We start from the raw sequence: 25,940 nt of genomic DNA, 5'->3' as shown, positions 1-25,940 counted from the left end.
TGGCCGTAATTTTATATGAATAGGTGTATATTCTTTGTAAGAGTGCTTTAAAATATATATACACACACACACGAAGGAAATCAATTTCTAATGTAATAAGTTGTATGTATATTTTTGAATTAATGGTATTTTTTCAGCAAGATAATCTTTCATCATTTTATCAAGAGTGTGTGACCTAAAAAGGAACTAAAGCAGGAAAACACCTAGTTCCTTCCGGATTTAATGACTTAAGGATATCTGTGCTACTCAACCAAGAAAAGCAGTCATTTTTATTTCATAGAGGGGGAAGGAAGTTTACGGAATGTTTTGGGTGGGTGTATAGGTTGATAAGTTTAGTTTTAGAAATGCTGATTTTGACATAGCATGGTTAAAGACAGATGTCTAGTACGTAGTTGAACACAGATTTACAGATCAGGAAGTTCTGGTCTTCATATATGGTCATTAACCATGCTGTGTATGAAATTACCCAGAAGATAAACAATTTACAAGGGCAAAGAAGAGAATTCTGGAAAACACAAACATTTAACAATGGGGGACAGAAAACAAACCTTAGAGACTGTACAGGAGTGTTCCATCATGTCAAATGCTAAGATGTCCATTAAGAACAGAACTGAAAAGTATGCACTGGCTTTAGTATTAAAAATGAAGTGAAGCGGCAAAGTGGTGAAGAAGAAGGCCAGATGTCAGTGAATGTGTAGTAGTACTATCCCCAACTCCTGTGTGAGTGTCTCTAGGGGCTATGTCAGATGGAAGAGAGGATAACTCAGTCAGACTGGAAATTTTGCTGGATGGATGAGGTGGAAGGAAAAGGATCCGGAATTGAGATTCCTGACAAGAGTTGGAAACAGTTCACTCAGTTCAGGATGAAGAGGGAAACATGAACTTCAGGTGTATCTGAAAGCTTAGCAGTACAGAAGGAACTGCAGAGTAAGAGAGTGAATAGGCTGGATGGACAGGAAGTTGGGGGTCAGAGAATGAGCACTGCTACACGGGCAGTAACAAGTTGTAAGAATGGCAGCAAGAGTGAGTAGGTGGCTTTGGAGTGTGGAGTCCAGATCACTGAGCTGGAGAAGGAAAAGGAACTGGGTTAAGGTGTTAAATTGGCTAACCACATGGACTGTAAGGGTATCTGAGACGACCAGAAGTGTTAAGAAAGACTGAGAGCTAGTTTCTAAACTTTCCCTTAAATTTAGGGAAAAATTTGATTCAGCAACTGGAAGAAGAGAATCTAAGAAGTAGCAAGCGGCACACTCATCCCTGCCTAAAAAAATCAGGATTCCCAATAGGGTAATATGTTGGGGTAGATTCAAAGATGAGAATGAGAATTTCAGGTTTGAGTGCCTATTAATTTACTGTGCAGGAAGTACGCAACACAAGAAGATGAAGAAGACGCAAAAGTGTTCCTTAGGCAATTCAGAGTTAAGTACATAACCCCCCCACCCCATTCTACTCCACGGTAAGATTGCATTAATAATCTTGGTCCAAAGTCAACTGGAAAAAAATGTGTTTCTATATTTTCCTAATTATACAATAAGGAAACACACCACTTCTACTCTTTATTATATCTTTAAACACATGCTTACCTGACTCTTCTTAGGAAGTGCTCTCTTTGTACACTTTGTTTCTTGAGACTTCCTCCTATTAATTTTCTTTTCTTTACAAGGCTGAACTTCTGTATTCAATAAGTTGCAAACACTCTCTTCTACAACACTGACCAATTGCTATAAAGAAAGTGTAAAGTAGGATACCGTAAAGCACAAGCAATTACATGTTAATGTGCTGCTCTCACTCTTGTTGTGCTTCCCAGGATGCTTCTACCACTTTAGATCCCATTTATTCTTAATTCACAAACCTTATTAAAAGCACTTTGATGAAAATTGGTGGAAATGGTAATTACCAATTTCTGAACTATCAAATGCAGACCCAGAAGTATACATATATTACCCAATTATATTAGGGAAGAAAGAAAAAACAGCTTAAGAATTCGTTAATTTATTCACTCATCAACTACTCATTAAGAACCTACAATTTAGCACCTAACTACTGGGTTATGGGGAAAAAAATCATGAATTTTTAGATTATCTAGGTTTGAATCCTGGGTTTAATATCCAACCCTATAAGCTAAATACCCCATAACAGTATATGTTTATACTTTATGATGTTATAAACAAAAATCCAAATTTTATCTAATTTAACGAAATAGCAAAAGACATGCATTCAATGGGAGTTATGCTTATATATAACTCCCAGTTGAAACCCAGTGTTAAAAAACAGACTGAAGCACAATTTAAAAAAGATTATACTTATATTATTTTCTGGTTCTGTTAATTACATGCTGATCTTCTCCATTTTCACCTCAACGAAATTCATAAAATCATATAGATCCCAAACAAATTTTGTTAACTTCCATGTTAACACAGCTCTGAAAGCATCTTTCTAGATTTTTCTTCTAATAGAATTAAAATCAAATCAGAAACACACTATCACCTTATAGGTTACATGCTAGGTAGGATAAAGTATTAGTTTTTTTTTTGAGACGGAGTCTCACTCCGCCCAGGCTGGAGTGCAGTGGCGCCATCTCGGCTCCCGGCAAGCTCCGCCTCCTGAGTTCATGCCATTCTCCTGCCTCAGCCTCCCTAGTAGCTGGGACTACAGGCGTCCACCACCACGTCCGGCTAATTTTTTTGGTATTTCTAGTAGAGATGGGATTTTACCGTGTTAGCCAGAATGGTCTCAATCTCCTGACCTCATGATCCGCCTGCCTCGGCCTCCCAAAGCATTGGGATTACAGGCGTGAACCACGGTGCCTGGCCAAAGTATTAATTCTTAATGACACTGATTAAACTAAGATTTCACCCATTATCATTTGGCCATGAAAACAGAAAAGTATATTGCACGATTTAAAAACAAATACGTTGTGCCAAACACAAACACTTACATTTCTTCTGTTAGAAGTCCTTGTTATTCTACCAACTTTAGGAGAGGATATTTTCTCATGGTTATTTGAAGAACTAAAGGTATCAGTGCCTGATAAACAAGACAAAAGCTAAATCAGGGTAGGAAACCAAAAACTATAACATACATCTTCCTTTGGAAACACTGTGTTTAGGATATCCACCTTTAATACCATATCTAAACAAAAAAAAGAGGAGCCAAGCAGCAGAAATTTTGAAATCCAATTTTTTTTTTTTGTTTTAAAAAATTTTAAGTTTACTGGATACTCAGAAACTTTCGCCACTTTCCATGGTGACTGCTTAACATATTACCAAGCTAAGATAGCAGAATAAATCACATTACAATAAATGCATGTATTTTCATGAACACCCATTTATTCCACGATACATTTTGTATAATGAAATCGCAATAAAGGACATTAAGATAACCATGAAAATACTTTGTTTTAAATTTTATTTAAAGTGTAGGATAGGAAAATTTTATTTTGACCACTTGTTTTTTTTGAGATGGAGTCTCACTCTGTCACCCAGGCTGGAGTGCAGTGGTGCAATCTCAGCTCACTGCAACCTCCGTCTCCCCGGTTCAAGTGATTCTTCTGCCTCAGCCTCCTGAGTAGCTGAGATTATAGGCACCCGCTACCATGCCTGGCTAATTTTTTTTTTTTTTTTTGTATTTTCAGTAGAGACCAGGTTTCACCAAGTTGACCAGGCTGGTCTTGAACTCCTGACCTCAAGTGATCTGCCTGCCTTAGCCTCCCAAAGTAAAGGGATTACAGGCATGAGCCACCGCACCTGGCAGACTTTTAATGATATAAATGAAAGGTGGTATAATATGTTTAAGGGTATGGCCTTTGGAATGTGATAGACTGTGATTCAAATTTTAGCTCTAACTTAGTAACACATGGCTTGGAGTCTACTAGGTTTGGTTTGTGTCAACAAGAAGCCATTAAGGGGTTTCCGCCAGGGAAGACACCTGAATAAAGGTGCCTGGCCCATGACACCTGCCAGCTAAGTCCTGGTTTGTCAGAAAAGCTGGGAGCAATCTGTTGCTTTGTCATAATCATAAAAAATCCAGAGACCTTGGAAAGCACATGTGCTAAAAACGCCACAATGAATGTTGAGGAAAAAGTCTGGATATTTAAGAATGATCCTTACAATCCAGATGTCAATTCTGTAAACTGTGAATAGCAGTTTGTCATTGATACTTAAGAGTTGAGAGGCTAACTCCATTGCTTCTAGCAACTAACAAAATGGGGATTCCATCTGAGGAAGTAAATTCTGGGTGATTATGAAGTATGAGGCTTGGAATGGAAAAGGGATGGATGAATAGCTTCATGTCAGCTTCCCAATACTATTAGGTGTTTTTAAACCAAGTATATGTTGTGGTAACAAATATGAAATTTTTAAAAGAAAACAAAAATAATCAACATATACACATATAAAAAATGACATTTATGATTTTAAGATAAACAAGTTACTACCTGAAAGGGTCTCAGAGATTGATGATTTATTAGGAGAACTGAGAACGGCAAATGATACTTGAAGTGGTTCTATGTTTTCCTAAACAAAGGAAAAGACAGAAGTTAGATATCTTTAAATGCAGTGAATACATAATGTGCCCAAAAGAAGAGTAAGAATTTATTTTGGTAGGAGAAACTATAATAAGCATAAAGATGGGTAATCAATAAAAGATTCTAAAATTCAAAGCAAAACAAAGATATTGAATAGAAAAATATATGTATACCATTTACCAATCATGTTTGCAATGAAATGCTTACTAACTGCAATCCATCAAACTACTAAGAAAATTTATAAGCGAAAGTACACATAATGATCTACTGCTAAATTTCTAACTCCTATAAAGAAAATTTAAAAATTCATTCATAAACACAATCTAACGTTATAATGTTATTCAGGGAACTCCAGAGTAAGATGGCAATATAAATACAGATAGCAAATCTTTTCCACATAATTGTTGGTAAGACATTAACTGTTGGTTTTGCATAGACATTAGTCAATTTGAAGAAATTCTTTTATTACCATTTTGCTCAGAGGTTTTATTTTTTAAATGAGAAGTGGATACTATATTTTGTTAAATGCTTTTTCTTTATTATTATTATTATTATTATTATTATTATACTTTAAGTTTTAGGGTGCATGTGCACAACATGCAGGTTTGTTATGTATACACGTGCCATGTTGGTGTGCTGCTTTTTCTGCAACTACTCAGATGATCGTATTTCTGTCTTAGTCTTTTAACAAGGCAGATTACACTGATTGTTTTTCAAACATTAAATGGCTTTGCAGCCCAAGGCTAAATCTCACATGGTTATGATGTATTATCTTTTTATATATTGCTATGTTTACAAGGATACTGAACTGTAGTTTTCTTCTCTTATAATGCCTGTCTGATTTTGCACCAGGTTAATGCTGAAATCACAATGCTGACATCAATTAACCTACCCCTTCAATTTGTGGAAACACTTGTGTAGAATTAGTATTTTAACTTGCTCAAGTGTTTGGTAGTATTCATCAGTAAAATCATCAAAAACTAGCCAGGCATGGTGATGTGTGCCCATGTCCCAGCTACTCGGGAGGCTAAGACGGGAGGATATGGGAGGATAGCTTGAGCCTGGGAGGTTGAGGCTGCAGTGAGCCATGACCGCACCACTGCACTCCAGCTTGGGTGACAGAGTAAGACCCTATCTCAAAAAAAAAAAAAAAAAAAATCATCTATACCTAGAGTTTTCTCTGTGGGAAGGTTTTAACTAAAATTTAAATATCTTAAGTTGATATAGGGATAATGAGGTAATTTATTTCACCTTTAGTGAGTTTTGGTAATTTGTGTCTTCTAAGGAATGTATCCAGTTTACCTAAGTTGTTAAATTCATTGGCATAAATCTGTTCAATATGTACAAGGAGTCAGGGAAGTATTATTTGTAATGGGCAAAAACTCATAAAAACCTACATACAAAATAGATTAATTTAAACCATGGCATATCATTTAGTCTATCTCATTATTTCAAAGCATAGTTATTGCTCATGCAAAGCAGGTGAAGCCTGATGAAAATACATATGGCAAGCTTGTTCCACGCTTTTCATACTTACAAGATTCTCCCCCTTGTCATCAAAATCTGGTTGAGGTAATGGCTCAGGAACAGGTGACTGCTCAAGCAGCAGGGAACTGAGACCACTGAAGTCTTTTTTACAAACAGGTGTTCCTCCTTTACGCAATGGAGTATTTGCTGGCAAAGATTCATCAAACACTTCCGGGCTTAAGTCCTCTCCAAAAGTAACTCTCTTCCTCTTCCTCATATTTAGAAAGGCAGGTGCTTCAAAATTTTCTTCATCTTCTATAATTAGACAATAAATGAGAGTAACTTAAAAATTAAGCTATATTTCTTATCTAAAAGGCATATACTAGAATCTTTTAATGTGATAATATTCAGCTATTATTTGTATAATAGCTAGTAAAGCAAAGCTATAAAATAATTGTTGGTAGAGCAAATTCAAAATGGAGAAGATAAGCACATTTCCAATTAAAATATGGCAACAGATTTCCAAGTAAAAATTTGCATATTAAACGTTAATAAAATTGAAATATAAATTTTCTTTACAAATACCACCACTAAGTAAAAATGGATCCATGAAATGGACAGACCAATTCTGAGGCTCTCCAAGGAGATTCTAACCTTCTCAACTGTTCTTCATTCACGTGTTATTTCAGAAGCACTAAGGCATTATAGATCATTGAAAATTTCATATATTATACTAGGTTTTACTAACATGAAAATGATATCCTCAAGCTTAAAAACAAGTATGAATTTCTTACCTGCTTCTTTCTCTTTGCAACAGTTTGGGAGATTTGAGATTAAGCTCGGATGAGTCCCATCATCATCATAGAGGTTGTTACAGTGTTCCTAAACAGAATAAACATTAATGAATAATTTTACATATAGAAATACATAGACGTCATCATTAAGAACAGCAGTTTTGAAATTCTCTGTCAACTGCAGATAGATATTCCAGTATTAAAGATTACCTTTATTTTCAATAATTGTTCTGGCTCAAAACCATGATATCAGGCACAAATCATAACTATGTCCCCTAGATACTACTTTAGAAAACAGAATTTTAGGGCAAAATTAAAGCATAGAAATCAATAAACATGGGTCAAATTCATTCAATGTTTGATCTAGCAAATAAAGCTAAGGAAAACGTGAGTAGCTAGAATAATAGCATATGGTCATTGCTCAATATCTATGGGAGATTAGTTTTAGGGCCCCCGAAGATACCAAAATCCACGGATGCTCAAGTCCCTTTTATATAATGGCATACTATTTACATACAACCTGAGTACATCCTCCCGTATACTTTAAATAATACTTATAATACCTAATACAATGTAAATGTCATGTAAAAGCATACTTTTTATTTATTTATTTATTTTTGAGACAAGGTCTGGCTCTATCACCCAGGCTGGAGTGCAGCAGTGCAATCTCAGGTCACTGCAACCTGTCACCCAGGTTCAAGCCATTCTCCTACCTCAGCCTCCTGAGTAACTGGGACTACAGGTGCGCACTACCACACCCAGCTAATTTTTGTATTTTTTTGTAGAGACGAGGTTTCGCCATGTTGCCCAGGCAGGTCTTGAACCCATGAGCTCAAGCAATCCGTGTGCCTCGGCCTCCCAAAGTGCTGGGATTACAGCTGGGAGCCACTGAGCCCAACCTAAAAGAATACTTTTAAATGGCATTGTTACATGGTATTGTTAATATGTATGGTATGATGCTGTTATATGTTATTGTTTTTATGTGTTTTGTGACTTTTTTCCCTGATAATTTTTGATCTGTGGTTGGTTCAATCCATGGATGCAGAACCAACAGATTTGAAGGTTACAAGTACCATATATGGTGTCAGATGAGGAAAACTATGTAAATGATCCCAGATAGAAGAACTGCATTAAAACAAGAAAAAAAGCCAACAGTTAAATGGTATAACATCGTGTTCTGTCTTTTAAACATGGGAACCACACCTATTCTTAGTATTTGAATCTTTTTACATTACTATATTCTTGAGGAAGAAACAAGGAAAGAAGGTAGCAGTTGTCCCTGTGTGTTTCTGCAAATAAAGAATACAGTGTAGGCAAGTTAGGAAAGAAGGGATATTGTAAGCCCTGTATAAAAAGACAGAACGAGTCTAAACACAGGGCCCCTGGAGCTCAGCAGGAGACAGCCAGGGCTGCAGACTGGATCAAAGTTCCCTCTTAATCACCACCTACTCATCCGGCCTCAACCTAAACCTCTGACCAGTCCTTGTTATCAAGAATTCCTCATTTTCTCCTGTACATCCAATTCTAAGAACATTACCTGCTCTAAGAAATAGTCCTGCCCCAAACAAATCTCCTTCATCTGTCTCTCAAGTCAGTTCATTTTTCTGACCAGGAAAATGTACATACCAATATTGCAAAATAAGTTAACTTATACAACAAAGCTCATGTTTACTTTTAGATTTATTTTTAACTAAATCAGAAAAGTCAGCAAACAACTCACATTTTATATGCCTCCTAATTTTTGCCATCTTAGTATAAAGATCATTAGTTGTAAATGTTTTCTTTTCTTTTTTTTTGGAGATGGAGTCTCGCTCTGTTGCCCAGGCTGGAGTGCAGGGGCACAATCTCGGCTCACTGAAAGCTCTGCCCCCTGGGTTCACGCCATTCTCCTGCCCCAGCCTCCCGAGTAGCTGGGACTACAGGTGCCCGCCACTACGCCCGGCTAATTTTTTGTATTTTTAGTAGAGATGGGGTTTCACTGTGTCAGCCAGGACGGTCTCTATCTCCTGACCTTGTGATCCACCTGCCTCGGCCTCCCAAAGTGCTGGGATTACAGGCATAAGCCACCACGCCCGGCCAGTTGTAAATGTTTTCACATGATTCTAATGACAAGACTTAATATTTGCTGTGTCATATTGTTAGAAAGTAAGAGTTCCATGGATCGTTCAGATGTTAAGTCTTTTTGAGGAGAAGATATGAACAAACAGTGCTGTGTGTATTACAGACCCAAATCAGCTTTTTTTTTTTTTTTTTGTCCCAGACTGGTCTCAAACTCCTGGGCTCAAGCGATCCTTCAGTGTTGGCCTTCCAAAGTCAGGGGATTACAGGTGTGAGCTATTGTACCTGGCCCCAAATCAGCTCTTTGAACAAAATTGTTAAAGCTTTACAAATAGCAATTGACCATCAATGATCCATGTAAATAGAAGGTAATTTAGTTCCTTTTGGCTTCAGAACAAATCAGAACAGGCTTGTAGGCATACTTGTATGTTAAAATGCTTATGGTTTGAAAAAAAGATTTGTATTTCTGAAGTGCCAGACACTCGTGGTGATTTTATATTATCCCATTTAATGCTCAAATTACTCTAAAAGTAGTTACCAACTTTACATTTTTATAGATAAGGAAACCAGGCAGAGAAAGGTCAAATAATTTGCTCAGTGATTACATTTCCAAGTCAAGATCTGAAACTTGGCATTTTGACTCCTGAGGCTAGGCTCTCAACCTCTCATGGACTGACAGCCTGTCATGGATTTTAACAGCAGACTTATCTGGGTTCACTTAACAACCTACAAGCCTAAGTGTATGTCAAACAGGTCCTATACCTTTCTCGGAGCACTACTGTTATATATATATGCCAGAACTGTCAACAGAAACTACTCAATAAATGCCAGCTAGTTCCCATCAACTTTCTCTTTCCTCATATTGACTGAGCTTCGAGAAAAAAGGATGGCTATAAGAGGTACTTTTAAGACTAAATATTTTGGGTGGAATGATCAGTTTAACAGATTGACACATTAATTATGATTAAGTAATTAATATCACTTATATAATTATATAAAATGAATCAATAACATATAATTATGTTAGTGCAATAAGATTATGTAAGATTATGACCCTTTATAAACTACAGTCTACTTACATTAAATTCTGCATGCTATATACGATACTTAATTTTTTAAAAATAAGAACAAAAAGAAACTACACCCAGTGTTGTTAATAAGAAAAGATGAGGAAAAAAATTTACGGTAAGACGAGTAAGACATTTCCTTTTAAACTAGCATGATATATGACATTTCAAGGGTATTACTTTGAAGCAAAATGCATTTTTATTCATTTGCTTTAGGAAATTTAACTCTCTTCTTACCTGTAAGCTCTCTAGACACATCTTAACAGAGGGTTTCTTCAGTACAGAACGAAGTACAAAGGTCTTGGGGGTGGGAAGGTCCCTCCTGCAGGCTGGAGTAGCTGGTGACCTGACATCAGGGACTGCGTCTGAGCTCACTTCTGCTGTGAACGTGTCAGGCGAAACGGCATCACTTGATCCTTTGCCCACTACACAGTCAGCAACCTTTAGTGCTTCAAGATAAACATGTAAACTTGAGAGGCAGAAGATCTCTTAAATCTGTTTGTTCTAGACCAAAAATATAGTATTTGCAAAGATAATAACATGCTATGAAGAAATTCAAACCTAATATAACCTGATTGGGCAGTAACGTCTGGGATTTCATTTGGAAACAGAAAAGGAGGTAAAGAAGCAGCATCGGTCAGTTTTTACCTCAAATCGGACTACGAAGGGTAAAGTGGGTATGGGGATTTGGCTCCCCAGGAAATCTCTGAGTCAGAGGTTGAAAGAAGGTATCATGAATCAGCTATAAGCTATTAGCGTGCCTCTACTCATGACACCCACTACTTGGACCATAAAAACTAATCTGAGCCAAGCATTGACTAATAAGCAATTTTACCGCTAGAGTCACAGGCATTTCAACATCCGAGGGTGGCAGGAATGAGAAAAGAAAGATCATCACACCAAACTATAAACACACTGTATGTGCCCCAAACAGGCGTGGCTTTTCTTCCCAAATTCTTCCCACAGGAGAGCGTTGCCTTATGATTAAGTGATCCATTGAACAAATACATGATGTGACAGGCACTCCTCTGGGTGCTGAAGAAGTAAAGATGAGCAAACCCCCAAAACCAGCACGGAATAAGCAGGGATTATAAAATCTCACAGCAGGGAGGAGGGAGAGGGAAAGAGTGATGGCTATGAAGGGTAACATGAGGATCCTCAGGACAGAACCATGCTGTGGCTTGGCTGTACTGTGCTCACATGAATCCACATGTGATAAAACCACACGGACTAAACATACACAAAAAGTATGTGCATGTAAAACTGGTGAAATCTGAAAACAAGTTGGTGGATTGTAGCAATGTCAATTTCCTGGTTGTGATATTAATATATCGTAGCTATGCAACATGTCACTACTGCGGGAAACTAGGTGAAGGGAATACTGGATTTCTTTATATTATTTCTTACAACTAGATAGCAAATTTATAGTTATTTCAAGTAAAAAGTTAATATATATATATATATATATATATACACACACACAACAAGTAGTTAATATATGCTATTAAGGAAAATAATGTAGCAAGAGAGGAATACAGTATGATAAGCTGGAAGGAAGTGCTACTGCTTTGGGTAAACAGAGAGTTCCTGAGCAGACACCTGAAAAGAACAAGGCGAACCACACATAGATCTAGGGATGGACATTATGCACACAAAGCCAAGTGCAAAGACCTGAGGTAAAGATGTACCTGGCATAGCAGAGGCCCAGCAAGGCTGCTGTGGCTGGAACAGTGGGCATGGACAAGAGAGCTGAGAAATAAGCTCAGAGCAAAGGTTAAGAACCAGGCCAGGGAAGGCCTAGTAGAAATAATATGGTCTTTGGCTACTTCTCTAAGTATAACAGGAAGTCGATGAAAGATTTTGAGGAGGGCAGTGAGATACTGTGACTTACATTTTAAAACCAGTGCTCTGGCTACTGTGTGAAAAACTGTAACAGGGGATTGGGGAAAGAGGGGAAGCAGGAAAACCACTTCAGAGGATACATAAAAAAATCCAGGCAGGAGATGGTGATGGCCTGGACCACACTGATAGGAATGCAAAAGGTGAGAAGTGGGTGGACATTTGACATATTTTGAAGACCTAGTAGCATTTGTCAATGCGATTACAAGTTTCATTTGAAAAAGGGAGGTATCACTTGGGTGCAGTGGCTCACATCTGTAATCCCAGCACTTTGAGAGACCAAGGTGGAATGGAAGGATTGCTTGAGCCCAGGAGTTGGAGACCAGCCTGGGCAACATAGTAGGATCCTGTACCTACCAAAAAAAAAAATTAGCTGGGCATGGTAGTGAGCACCTGTGGTCCCAGCTACTTGGAAGGCTGAGGTAGGAGGACTCCTAGAGCTCAGGAGGTTGAGGCTGCAGTGAGCCAAGATCACACCACTGCACTCCAGCCTGGGTGACAGCGAGACTCTAACTTAAGAAAAAAAAAAAAAAGGAAAAGAAAAAGAAAGGTATCAAGTTAAGTCCAATATTTGAGATACAGCAATGAGGTGAATGAGAGTGTCATTTACTAAGATGAGGAAAACAGAGATGAGCAGGTTGGTGAAGGAAAAAATCATCAAGACCTATTTGACTATGTTCAGTTTGAGATGTTTATTAGGCATTCAAGTGAAGGTCATGAAAGGGAGCTGGATACTTAATTCAAGAGTTCCGGGAAAAGGCCACGGGCAACTATTTTAATTTGAAGTCAACAGCATGTGATAATGTTTGAAGTCACCTAGAAAGAGTTCACATTGGGTATCCTTTATCCAAAATGCTTGGGATCAGAAGTGTTTCAGATTACAAATTTTTTTCAGATTTTGAAATATTTGCATTCTACTTACCAGTCAAGCATCTCTAACCTGAAAATCCAGAAATGCTCCAATAACCATCTCCTTTGAGTGTCATGTTTGCACTCAAAAAGTTACAGAATTTGGATTTTTGGCTTACAGATGCTCAACCTGTATATAGAGACAAAAGGTCCAAGCACCGAACATGAAGGTCGAGGGGGGGCATTCAAATATTTGAAGGTCAGGATGAAAGAAGAGGAGCAAAGAAAATACACAAAGAGGAAATGGTCAGTGATGCAAGGGAAAATGAGAATGACATCCTGAAACCCAGGTGAGGAAAAGGCTTCTCACAGGAGGGCCTGGTTGTAGATGTCTATATCCGTCCATAGTGCTGCTAAGACATCAAGGAAAGGAATGTGTTGAGTCTGACTACCACTGGGTTGGCAGCCAGGAGATGGCTGGTCAACAAGGCCTATTTGGAGCTGGATCAAGAAAGAATGGGAGGCAAGGAGACAGAGTGTGGCCTTCTCTTAAAAGTTTTGCCTAAAGTAGAGTAAAGAAATGGTGTTCTGGCTAGAAGGCAATCCTGGGGCAAAGGGAAGTTTAAGATGGGATATTTTACAGCATCTTGTAGCTGAATAAGAAAAGTTAACAATTCAGAAAAGAGAGGAGACAACTCAGACACAAGGTCCTTAGAAGGAGAAGGAGCAATGGGAATCAGTCCCTAAAAAAGAGGGTAGAGGCCAGGCGTGGTGGCTCATGCCTGTAATTCCAGCACTTTGGGAGGCCTAGGTGGGCAGATCACCAGAGGTTAGGAGTTTGAGAGCAGCCCGGCCAACATGGTGAGACAGCATCTCTACTAAAAATACAAAAATTAGCTGGGTGTGGTGGCGGGCACCTGTAGTCCCAGCTACTCAGGAGGGCTGGGTTAGGAGAATCACCTGAACCCAGGAGGCAGAGGTTGCAGTGAGCTGGGGCCGCACCATTGCACTACAGCCTGGGCGGCAGAGTGAGACTCCATCTCAAAAAAAAAAAAGAAAAAAAAGAGGCTGGCCCTAGGTAAGAACATTGAGACCCTTTTGAAAGAGGAGCAAAGGTAGATACACACATACAGAGATGCAGGAGGGCTTAGGGGTGAGAGGACCAAGACCTTTGCTCCCAAAATCTCTTATTTTCTCAATGGTACAGGAAGCAAGGAACTGCAAAAGGCTACCAGGGAACTTTCTCTCAGATCACTCATGAGTAGAGCTGCCAGGTTTGGCAAATAAAGATGCAGGGGCCCAGTTAAATCTGAATTATATCTAATTCCTTACGTATGTGTACTTTGATATAAAACAAAAACACTGGAGTGATGTGGGGGAGATAGTGGAGTAAGAGTTCTGTGGCTTCATTCCCTGTTCCCAGAGAAATCCAATGAGCAACTATCTGCAGGCAAAAATAACATTCTGAATATCCCAGAATTTGGGAGTGAGGTTGACACACCTCCTTGGACCCCAGAATGGAGAAAAGCCACAAACAAGTGGTAAGAAACTTTTCTGTTTGACTGTGCTGCCCTTCTCCCAACTGGCACAGTGCCACACACAGAGAATTCCCCTGGACCCACAGTTTCTACAGTGGGAAGAGTGAGTGGGAAGCAGACGTTTGGCTTCCCCACCATTCTGGGATACTTCGCAGGAGCTGCACTCCTGTCTTGTCCCCCAGGAAACACTGGGAGTACTGGCAAGGCTGGGCCACTGGGGGGCAGATAAAAACAAAGAACGTGGGATGGGGATCACAGCCACCAGAGAGCGAATTCTGGTGGCTTCCTGCATTCCAGCTAACAGAGATGCCACACCAGAGAAACCAGCCAGCAGTATTAAACTGCAGGAAACATGGTTAGTGGGTCTTCCAGGTTAAAATCCCTGTCCAGCTTCCCCACACAGCCTGGGTGCTCCCATCAGGTCTTCGCCAGGTCGAGAAGCAACTGTAGGTCAGTGATTGCCCACAGAGGAAATATCTGGCCCCATCTAACCCTAGCTGTAAAGATGTGAGCCAACTAAGTTCTGGTGGTTGCATTAAATATTCGCATTCCTTTGTTTGAGATGGAGTCTCGCTGTCGCCCAGGCTCCAGTGCAGTGGTGCAATCTCGGCTCACTGCAACCTCCGCCTCCTGGGTTCAAGCAATTCTCCTGCCTCAGCCTCCTGAGTAGCTGGGATTACAGGCAGGTGCCACCACGCCTGGCTAATTTTTGTATTTTTAGTAGAGCCGGGATTTCACCATATTGGTCAGGCTGGTCTAGAACTCCTGACCTTGTGATCTGCCTGCCTCGGCCTCCTGAAGTGCTGGGATTACAGGCGTGAGCCACTACACCCAGCCCAAATATTTGCATTCTACTTACTAGTCAAGCGTCTCTAACCTGAAAATCCAGAAATGCTCCAATAACCATCTCCTTTGAGCATCATGTTGGCACTCAAAAATTTTCAGAGTTTGGATTTTGGCTTAGGGGGAGCAACTGTAGGTCAGCAATTACCCATGAAAGGTACATCTGGGCCTACCCAATCCTAGCAGTGGAAAGGTGATCAAACTAAGCCCTTGTGCTGTCACTAAGTCTTCCCTAAGCCAGGCTGTGTCAGTGATTACCTGTGGAAGGAGCATCTGTCCCTGCTCGACCCCAGCTGCAGAGAAGTGACTCTACCAAATCTCAGTGCTCTGCTTAACCCTACCCTGGGCTGGGAGGCAAGCCCGAATCCACACACATCTGTGGAGTACAGCCTCAGGCCCTGCCCACCCTATGGGGCCAAGCAACAACCTCAAGCAGACTCAGAGCCCATCACATGGTTCTGCCCAACTACAGATTCCAAACAATAGTACTGACCAGCCAAGGAAGACAACCTGCAACTCTGCCAAATCAGAGACAATCACAGAACCCAGAGAGCAGCTCTACCTGACTGAAGGCAGAGTCCAGCCAGTGATCTTACTAGACCATGGAGGACAGCTAGCAATATCATTTGACTTCAGAGCACAGGAAGCAACCAGAGAACCTGACACCAAAATACAAAGGATCACAAGCAACTACTATGAATAATTAAATGCCAAGAAATTGGATAAAAGAAATGGATCATGAACCAATAGAAAATCTCAAAAGACCAATAATGAGTGAGAAGACGACTGAATTAGTAATAAAAATGTCCCACCAAAAGAAAAGCCCAGGACCAGATGGCTTTATTGCTGACTTCCATCAAACATTTAAAGAACTGACAAGTTTTCTCAAACACTTTCAAAACAAATAAAAGTAGAGAAAATACTTCCAAATACTTCCTTGTCATTTTACAAGGTTAGCACTACCCTGCTACATATAAGAAAATTATACACCAATATCCCTGGTGAACAAAGATGCAAAAATCCTCCACAAAATATTAGCAAACCTAATTCAGGAACACATTAAAAGAATCATTCACCATGATCAAATTAGATTTATCCCTGGGATTCAAGGATGGTTCAACATATGCAAATCTATGTGATACATGACATAAAGAAGATGAAAAATAGAAACCATATCATCACCATTTTCTGTGTGTTTTCTTAACCAGATCATTGTGAAATTATTCATAATTATTCTTTGGCCCTCTGCCCAGAAACCTTTTTTTGTATCTGACAATTGCTGAGATTTGGGGAAAGGAGCAAGTCAGAATAGAAATTAGTACTGCCCTCCTTGAATTAGGATTATAGTCTCAAAGAAGCTACTGTAAGGCATTCATGGTGCTCTGAGCAGTGTTTTGTGTGTGTGTTTTAAACTGGTAGGAAACTGGATGCATATTTACAAAAATAAAAACCGGAAGAAATGAAAAAAATATGTATCAGAAATAGTCTGGCTTCAAATTTTAACCATGCACAAATTCTGTCTCTGGATTATATTATGAAGCTCTTATGTGAAACATGTTTCTCTGTAATGAAAACCACGTTGGAGATGTTTAGTAATCATATTCTGTTATGGTCCCAAGACTACTAATGAAATGCCTTTCTACTTTAGGGAAGTACTTTGGTCATTTTAATTATATAGATAGAAAAACTGAGATGCAGCCCCTCTCCTGGAAGGGCTGATTTTGAATAAATGCTCATATGATGCACATGTACTGATTACTGCCTATTTTAATAAACGCTCTTGAAAAATGAAAAAAGATGAAAAATAAAAACCATATGATCACCTCAATAGATGGAGAAAAAGCATTTGATAAAATTAACACAATATCACAGTAAAAATTCTCAGACTAGGAACAGAATGTTCTTCAACGCAATAAAGGACATACATGACAAACCTGTCGCTAACATCATTCTCATCAATGAAAAAGCATCCATTAATGGGTGAATGGATAAAGAAAACGTGGTATATATACACACAGCAGAATACTATTTAACCCTAAAAGCGAGGAGACTCTCATTTGCAACAACATGGATGAATCTGGAAGAGATTTTGCTAAGTGAAATAAGCCAGGCACAAAAGACAAAAACCACATGATTTCACCTACATGAGGAATCTAACAAAGTTGAATTTATTGAAGTAAAGAGTTGAATAGTGGTTACCAGAGGCTGTAGAAGTGGTGAGGAAGGAAATGGGGAATTGTTGATCAAAGAATACAAGGTTTCAGATAGATAAGTGGAATCAGTTTTGAGATCTATTGCACAACAGTGTCTATAGTCAATATTAGTGTATTACATATTTCAAAATAACTAAGAGAGTAATTTTCAAACGTCTCACCATAAAAAAAAATGACAGGTAAGTGAAGTGAGGGACATGTTAATTAGCCTGATTTAATAATGCCACATTGTATAAATATATCAAAATATCATATTGTTCCCCATAAATATATACAGTTATGGTTTGTCATTCAAAAATAATAGTAATAAATTTAAGAAAAACAAAACAATTACATGACACACTATAAAATTATCTGTTGAAAACATAAATTATATGTATCTAAATTTTAAAAAGAAATAAAGGAAGGAGCGTTGGATATTTTAAGAGAAAAATAAGGTGTGAAAGTGTGTGGATTAAGAAACAGCACAGTCCAGGTGTGGTGGCTCATGCCTGTAATCCCAGCACTTTGGGAGGCCAAGGCAGGTGGGTCACCTGAGGTCAGGAGTTCAAGATCAGCCTGGCCAACATGGTGAAACTCCGTCTCTACAAAAATACAAAAATCAGCCAGGCATGGTGGCGGGTACCTGTAATCCCAGCTACTCGGGAGGCTGAGGTGGGAGAATGGCTTGAACCTGGGAAGCAGAGGTTGCAGTGAGTTGAGATCGCGCCATGGCACTCCAGCCTGGGTGACACAGCAAGACTCCGTCTCAAAAAAAAAAAATAAATAAAAAATAAAAAAGAAACAGCACAGAACCATTTGAGGTAAAAAAAAAAAATTGAGGCTATCAGCATACCAAATATTAGCAGCTCTGGGGCAGGTGCAGAGAAGGCAGGGAGATTCGCTGAGTTGGATGTTGGATTTCCGGCTACATAGGTAAAACAGAGGAAGCAGAGGGGGTAAAGGAGATCAGAGGTGTCATGCAGGTCCCCCTAAGCTCCCCCTTAACAAAGAGACATTTGATTCCATCTCGGAACATCTTTTTATTCTTCCTGAAGGTGCACTGTCTGGGGTGCCACCAAAAAACAACGCAGTTTAAAATACAGAAATCAACACCAGACTCCTTTCATCAAGGCCCCATCTACTATGGTAGATCTATTCTTCCCTGTTTAATTACACTGTTTCTGAGTACGGCCTCATGGCATGCCTAAATAAAATTTTGGCCTGTGTGATTTCAACATTTCACATTGTAGAGTGAGGTGTTTAGTATGATGACAACTGTGAATCGCTACACTTCATACAATCTATAATCACTGTCACAGAGAATCTGTCACTCCTACGCAAAGTCCCATAAGAGCAAAGCAAAAAGAATTGTTAAGAAACTGTTGGGCCGGGCACGGTGGCAAATCCCAGCACTTTGGGAGGCTGAGATGGGTGGATCATGAGGTCAGGAGTTCAAGACCAGCCTGGCCAAGATGGTGAAACCCTGTTTCAACTGAAAATACAAAAAACTCAGCTGGGCTTGGTGGCAGGCACCTGTAATTCTAGCTACTTGGGAGGCCGAGGCAGATAATTGCTTGAATCCAGGAGGCAGAGGTTGCAGTAAGCTGAGATTGTGCCACTGCACTCCAGCCTGGTCAACAGAGCGAGACTCTGTCTCAAAAATAAGAAGAAGAAGAAGAAAGAAAACATTGAAGGCAAGAACACCTTATTCCATTGTGGTAACAAACTCACAACCTTGCCCTGTGCAGGGGGACCATGCAGGCGGACATCCACCCATTTATCTTATGATTAAAATTAAAAGTCAGAGCAAATGCTCACTACAAAAATGCTAAAGAAGTTCTTTTTCAGGTTGAAGGAAAATAAGACAGAGAAACTCAGATCTTTAGGAAAAAACAACATAAGAAATGGTACATCTGGGTAAATATAAAAGACTATTTTTCCCCTCTTAACCTATTTAAAGCACATATAACTGTTTTGGCTGGGCACAGTGGCTCATGCCTGTAATCCCAGGACTTTAGGAGGCCAAGATGGGTGGATTGCTAAAGGCAAGGAGTTGAAGCCCAGCCTGGCCAATGTGGCAAAATCCCATCTCTACTAAAAACATAAAAATTAGCTGGGCATGGTGGTGCACGCCTGTAATCCCAGCTACTCAGGAGGCTGAAACACAAGAATGGCTTGAACCTGGGAGAGGGAGGTTGCAGTGAGCTGAGATCACACCACTGCACTCCAGCCTGGGCAAGAGAGTAAGAAACTGCCTTAAAAAAAAAAAAAGAAAAACAAAGCACATACAGCTGTTTAATCCAAAAACAACATCTTGTGAGGCTTATAATGAAGTAAGTGTGTATCTGTAAAGGATCATAAAAGCCATGGCTGGAAAGGAGAGGAAATTGATCTGTAGAGTTTGTAGTTTCTGTATTTTATGTGAAATTGTATAATATCAACTAACCAGACTATGAAAGATTACAGAGCAATAATCAGGAATAGAAAACATATGATAAAATGACAGATGTGAATAAAACCATGTTAAGTAATTACCTAAAAAGTTAATAGGCGAAATATTCCAATTACAATAAATTATCAGAATGGATTAATAAAACACAAGATCCAATTATATGCCCATAAGAGTTTTAAAGACCCAAGTAGAAAAAAAGTCAATCTAAACCCTTGCTAGTAATGTTCACCCAGTACAAGCATACTGATTTTGAGAAAGAATAATTTTTACATCCTGGTAAGACTCTTTTTACATGCTTAAAAACAAATAAAAATATTACAAGTAGTGTTCCTATAACAAAGAATACTTGTTAATATGTTCATAGGTGCTACCTCTTTATACTAAATTCCATGAGCTTGAAAATACTTCACTAATTCTTATTGATCGTAGCTTAAAAAAGAGAGTATCTCTCATATAACAAGAATTCAGAAGCATTTCTACTAGGCCATGAGCTCCTAAAAAGTAGGAAACAATTTCAGTTCCCCCAAATTTTAGCAAATAGGTACACTAATCATAAATGTCTATGAATCGGGCAACTGGCCATGTACTAAGAAAAGATTACTTACCATTTGAAGTCTCTGTGAGCTCTGAAAGGGGAAGAGACTCTTCAACTAAAAATCCAGACTGTGTTGAACCAAGTTTAGATGATATCTTGGGGAAAAATTGAAAGAGTATTACATTTTATTAATTAGAGTACTACTAATGCCTTTTTGAAGATTTGAGTAAACATTATGGATTGCCTGGAAATCTGATGTTCAATCAGTCACCTTCATTATCTCATAAAGTGTACAGGAGATACTTTATCCTGAGAAAAGTGTACACTTTATCTCATAAAGTGTATCTCAAAGTGTACAGGAATCTAACATGAACTATTCATATTAACTGCATCCTAAACATCCCACAAATCAACTTTTAATTCCCCAGGAAAAGTTTAAAGGATATATTTTTGTTGTTATAGCCTAGATAGCTGTATCATCTGTAATTCTTTAGAGAAAATTCTCAAAATAAAGTTTATATAATTATTAATCAAACGCCAAACGATATCAATAACTAGGATATGAAAAACATTAAAGGCTAGGATAGAAAACACATTCACACTAATTCAGAAATAATATCTGAATCATGATGTATGTTCAAACAATTAATCAAAGTTCTGATAACAAACAATTATTCTTGCTTCTGTCCAGTGGGGATTTCACATCAACCTGAAAAGGGCGGAGGCAGCCGAGATTACAGGCGACTGAAATACAAAGGAAACCCACTGGAGCCTGAAGAATGTCTAATAACTATCAAATCTTTGTTCTGCCAGTCCACATAAAACGAATAGGACGAGCACTGGATCTAAGTGACAGAGAAAGTGCAGAAAGGGTTCCAACTGTAACGGTGTTAGGTGTCTCCTCTCACAAAGGCCATGAGGAGCTACTGTGTCAAACCAGAACTAGAAGCATGAAGTAAGAAAAGTCCGTCACGAGAGACCAGCTCTCCATTCACGCGTGCGCGCAGGTCAACTGATCTTCAGTAGTATTATTTTTCTAATATCGCCTTTTGATCGTCTTGACAGGGTTTAGGTAGTTATAAGCCACAAAAATCCCTAGAGCTACTTGAAAGAAGTGAGCAAAGGAGAAATTGCTGAATGGCACCCTGATTTCCATCAGAAGGAAAGCAGTCAGGGGCAGGTATAAGTGCAAGACTCCCAAGCCTGTGGAGTACACCCCACACAGAATCTCCACCTGATCCACCAGCTCCACTGAAGCCATCTGCTTATACCCTGCTCCCCAGTAGAAAAAATACTGCCTAAGGGCAAGACTGTAACTTCCTCCCTTCTTGGAGCATCACCCTCTAGAATACCTCATACGTAGAAGACCCCAGGGCTTACTCTCTTTGTAAGGTTAGTAGTCAAAAGTGAGATCATTATCCAAACTGTTTCTAATAAGTGATAAATACCAGCAACCATAAAATTAACAGGTAGGAAACACACACACACACACGCACACACACACACACACACACACACCCCAGGAACCACAGGGCAGAACAAGGTACTAAAATTGAAGAACGGCACTGACAGCCTTAAAACTGCCTATGCAGAAAACCAACAACTTCATTTTCCTATGCGTAAAGTAAGTGAATTACCTCAGAAAGATCTACAGAAGTTTCAACTGCACATGCTCTGTCTGTATCAATATTGAATATCTGGAGACCAATTACTTTTCCTTCAGCATCCGTCAGATTTTCATCAGAGTCTCTCTGATAGGATATTCTCCGACGTTTGGAGGACAACACTGCAGGGAACCCAGACTGCTGGCAAGCGCTGAGACCTTCCTTTCTGGCTATAAACACAAAATAAAAACAAAACGACACAGGCATAAATGTTTTCATATATATTATATATATTTTTTTTCTTTTCTTTTTTTTTTTTTTTTTTTTTGAGACGGAGTTTCACTCTTGTCGCCCAGGCTTGAGTACAATGGTGCGATTTCAGCTCACTGCAACCTCCACCTTCTGGGCTCAAGTGATACTCCTGCCTCAGCCTCTCAAATAGCTGAGATTACAGGCTCATGCCACCATGCCTGGCTAATCTTCGTATATTTAGTAGAGATGGGGTTTCACCACGTTGGTCAGGCTGGTCTGAACTCCTGACCTCAGGTGATCCACCCACCTCAGCCTCCCAAAGTGCTGGGATTACAGGCATGAGCCACCACGCCCGGCTATTGTGCATCGTAATTTTAGTAAAATCTAGTGCTTAAGTCTAAATTATCAATGAAAAGAAAAATCTACCACACTTTTTTATTCCAAAAAAAATTAAATCTAACTGAAAGGAATGAAAACATGTCTATTGAAAAGATAATACATTCATATTATTAGAATTAAGTTTTTTCAGGCCTTAAAAGGTACAAAGATATACTAAAATACTTTTGCATGTCTAATATGGTACCTCACGCTTTTTAAATGATGACACCTGTTATTTTGAAAGATGTGGTTATGCTCTAATACTCTGTATGACTTTATGAAAAAGACAACCACAACGTACCTGTTTTTTTCTAGCTAAAAAAAAGGAACTGTCTGCAGAATTATAATGATGTAAATAAATTTTAAAACCCAGGAAAAAACTGAAACAATAAGTGAGTCACAAACTACAAATATAAATCGGTACATCTGAATGGGTCACGCACTCTAGAGGTAGATGAGGGGGACTTGTCTTGGGCTAACAGAGCAATCCTCATGGGAGGTGCTGAAATGCACTTAAAGATGGTTCAAGAATTCAAAACAGAATCATTTGAAACCTTAGTGTGTAAAGTACCAGAGAATGGTTATAATGATTACAGTAAGACCAAGATTTTGTCACATTCTGGTATCTGAAATGCTTCGTGATTGGGGGGGAAAAAAAAAAGACTGAAAAAACAACCAAATGAATTACAATCTAAGAGTTAAAGAATATAGCAGATTATCAGATTGGATATATTTGTGTGTGTGTGTGTGTTTTTTTTTTTTTTTTTTTTTTTTTGAAAGGGACTCTCACTTCTTCGCCCAGGCTGGAGTGCAATAGCACGATCTGGGATCACTGCAACCTCCACCTCCCAGGTTCAAGTGATTCTCCTGCCTCAGCCTCCCCAGTAGCTGGAGTTACAGGCATGTGTCACCACGCCTGGCTAATTTTGTATTTTTAGTAGAGACAGGGTTTCACCATGTTGGCCAGGCTGGTCTTGAACTCCTGACCTCAAGTGATCCTCCCGTCTCAGCCTCCCAAAGTGCTGGAATTACAGGCATGAGCCACCGCGCCTGGCTGAATATATTTGTTTTTAACATCAGGGTTGGGTGTTTGGTACTCATATAAAATTTATATGAATTTATTTCATTTACTAAATGCTTGCCGAGCTTAATAATAATCCTGTAAAAATCAAGATTTGTAAACTCAAATTTGCCACAAGCTCTATGGTAAAGGTGAAATGAGCTAATTATCTCTGGCATTTTAAAACTTAAAATTTAATTGCAACCATGCGGAAATGTAGGATTAGGAATGCCTGATAACAGGTTTTTTTTTCTAAGAGAAACCAGAAATCCTTATTTTTGTGTGAAATGTCCCAAATTTTTAATGTTAGTCTCACTTTATAAATATACCTGTGTTCTGAAAAGATTGGCTTCACACTAAATCATTTCATAACTCAGAAGCTTGTCTTTATAAATATTGAAGTCAAAACTGAACGAATTATTTCTACTCACTCAAGTCTGTCATCTCGGACTCTTTTCCTGCCTCTGAGAATTCCAGACAGCCGGTCATTTTCTCGTTTTCCTTTATGGAGTGAAAAGCTGACTGGAAGGCTGATATTCGTTCTCTTAAAGTGTTAACATTTCGATACAGTGCAGGGCTGCCCTGTGAAAGTGCAAAATATACAAGGAGTATTATAATCAATTCATACTTTCTATATTCTAGGCCTACAGCCATTGAATCCAAAATTAAATACAGTACACATATGCTTTTTGAAGATCAGCGGTAAGGAGTTAGTGTGGCAGAGCTTCTTCACCCTGGAATTACCCATTTTCAGTTTGAATAAGGAAGTTTAACACAAAAATGTTGAGAGGCCAGCCTAAGATTATATGGAAGGTGCCAAAAAAACATTGCGCTCTGGGATGGTGCAACAAAAAAGGGACAGGAGGAACCTGTCTATTTGCAATTTTTACCAAATGTTGTGCTGGATGTATCCATAGGAAGCCATCTGCATGGTGCTTGTGTCACAGGTAAGTCTCAGCATACCTCCTTCAGTCCAAGCTGTTTCTACTCAGCACGGGTCTACACATGCCCTCCAGCCCAGGGGCCAGAACGAGACACAGAAGTTCCATACATGCTCAGATACTACACTTGCACTGCTCTCCTTTTTGGCTCTTCCCAGCTAATTTTCCTGATTGTATGGGACCTGGAGGATATTTCCTTCTTAGGGTTGAAAGCCAGCCATTCTCTTAAAATACAAAGTTTGATGGTATAAGCACAGAAGCTCTCTGGAAACCCCGTTAACAGGGTTCCAACCAAAGACTGATAAAATGAAATTTATATTAGCAGGGATAGAAGTGCCAGTTAAAGACAAGTAATATAAAAATTGAGAGTTCCCTTTACATAAAAATTAAATTACAAATGAAGTTCTCTATCTAGATTTTTTTTTATTACTTGGACTACTAACATTTCCACTGATATGAAGTTTGTGGCAATGTTTAAAAATTATACCAATGGGCAAAAAGTGAAGTAAAAATTACCTCCGTTTAAGATATCATACAGAGTAGGCTGGGCACAGTGGCTCATGCATGTAATCCCAGCATTTTGGGAGGCCAAGGTGGGAGGATCACTTGAGGTCAGGAGTTTGAGACCAGCCTGGCTAACATGGTGAAACCATGTCTCTACGAAAAACACAAAAATTAACCAGGCGTGGTGGTGCATGCCTGTAATCCCAGCTATGTGGGAGGCTGAGGTGGGAGAATCGCTTGAACCTGGGAGGTAGAGGTTGCAATGGGCCGAGATCATGCCACTGTACTTCAGGCTGCGTAACAGAGCAAGGCTTGGTCTCAGAAAAAATATATATATATCACAGGGAGAAAAAGCAGTTCATATCGTGAAGCCATGTTTGATGGTGATCTGTTCACACATTTGATTCTCTTCCCAGTTAAATATAAAGCAAATTCTCTATTACATAATGAGAACATTTTACATTGAAATATCCTTGATGACACAAACGTTCACGACATAAACAGCAATAATATTCAAAAAAGGCTTATGTCAATTCATCTAACAGAACGACAGGGAAAAGATGATCTCAAATTCATACAATTTACTTTGAATGTGCTTTTTTTGCACACATATTTGAACATGGTAGGGGCAGATTTAATATCCTAGGAACATGCAGCACTTTGAAATGCTGCTTAAAAAAATTTTAAGTTTCTCTAGTCAAAATTGTTTTTTCTCTATTTTCTACTGGAGAAGGAGAACAATGTTTACATACAAAGCAAATGAAACATTCAAAATGTACTGCTTTTTTGATGTTTTTGTTTTAGGAATTGTGTCGGTCAGTCAACAACCTTCCTTCCATGCACCACAAACTGTTTGAGGGGCTCAGGATCTAGGGAAAATTACTTTATTTTTATTTGAGACAAGGTCTTGCTCTATCAGCCAGGCTGGAGTGCAGTGGCACAATCACAGCTCACTGCAGCCTCGATATCTTGGGCTCAA

At 39.0% G+C, this 25,940-nt stretch overlaps 1 protein-coding gene across 3 annotated transcripts in view, besides 3 other annotated features; it reads right to left on the bottom strand.

The window, feature by feature from the left end:
* CDCA2 (cell division cycle associated 2) overlaps positions 1–25,940 on the bottom strand; it is a 48,987-nt gene that overhangs the window by 17,645 nt on the left and 5,402 nt on the right. For all 3 annotated transcript variants that reach the window (NM_001317906.1, NM_001317907.1, NM_152562.4), the window contains 9 exons: positions 23,948–24,098; positions 21,860–22,056; positions 20,293–20,377; positions 10,149–10,360; positions 6,787–6,874; positions 6,063–6,307; positions 4,436–4,514; positions 2,939–3,027; positions 1,584–1,721 (listed from right to left, as the gene is read on the bottom strand). In NM_001317906.1, the coding sequence (NP_001304835.1) occupies positions 1,584–1,721; positions 2,939–3,027; positions 4,436–4,514; positions 6,063–6,307; positions 6,787–6,874; positions 10,149–10,360; positions 20,293–20,377; positions 21,860–22,056; positions 23,948–24,098 (1,284 nt within the window). The remainder of the gene's footprint in view (positions 1–1,583; positions 1,722–2,938; positions 3,028–4,435; positions 4,515–6,062; positions 6,308–6,786; positions 6,875–10,148; positions 10,361–20,292; positions 20,378–21,859; positions 22,057–23,947; positions 24,099–25,940) is intronic.
* Positions 8,173–8,672: an enhancer, noted in NCBI's record as "H3K4me1 hESC enhancer chr8:25339117-25339616 (GRCh37/hg19 assembly coordinates)". NCBI's record gives its function as "activates a minimal SCP1, AML or CMV promoter by ChIP-STARR-seq in primed H9 embryonic stem cells {active_cell/tissue: H9 hESC(primed)}" and the evidence as "EXISTENCE:reporter gene assay evidence [ECO:0000049][PMID:30033119]".
* Positions 8,673–9,174: an enhancer, noted in NCBI's record as "H3K4me1 hESC enhancer chr8:25338615-25339116 (GRCh37/hg19 assembly coordinates)". NCBI's record gives its function as "activates a minimal SCP1, AML or CMV promoter by ChIP-STARR-seq in primed H9 embryonic stem cells {active_cell/tissue: H9 hESC(primed)}" and the evidence as "EXISTENCE:reporter gene assay evidence [ECO:0000049][PMID:30033119]".
* Positions 9,902–11,101: an enhancer, noted in NCBI's record as "CDK7 strongly-dependent group 2 enhancer chr8:25336688-25337887 (GRCh37/hg19 assembly coordinates)". NCBI's record gives its function as "activates an origin of replication core promoter dependent on BRD2, BRD4, P300/CBP, MED14 and CDK7 cofactors, with strong dependence on CDK7, by STARR-seq in HCT116 cells {active_cell/tissue: HCT116}" and the evidence as "EXISTENCE:reporter gene assay evidence [ECO:0000049][PMID:35650434]".

The sequence above is a fragment of the Homo sapiens genome, chromosome 8, assembly GCF_000001405.40.
Source record: "Homo sapiens chromosome 8, GRCh38.p14 Primary Assembly".
Lineage (NCBI taxonomy): Eukaryota > Metazoa > Chordata > Mammalia > Primates > Hominidae > Homo > Homo sapiens.
This window is presented reverse-complemented; position numbering and strand designations above follow the sequence as displayed.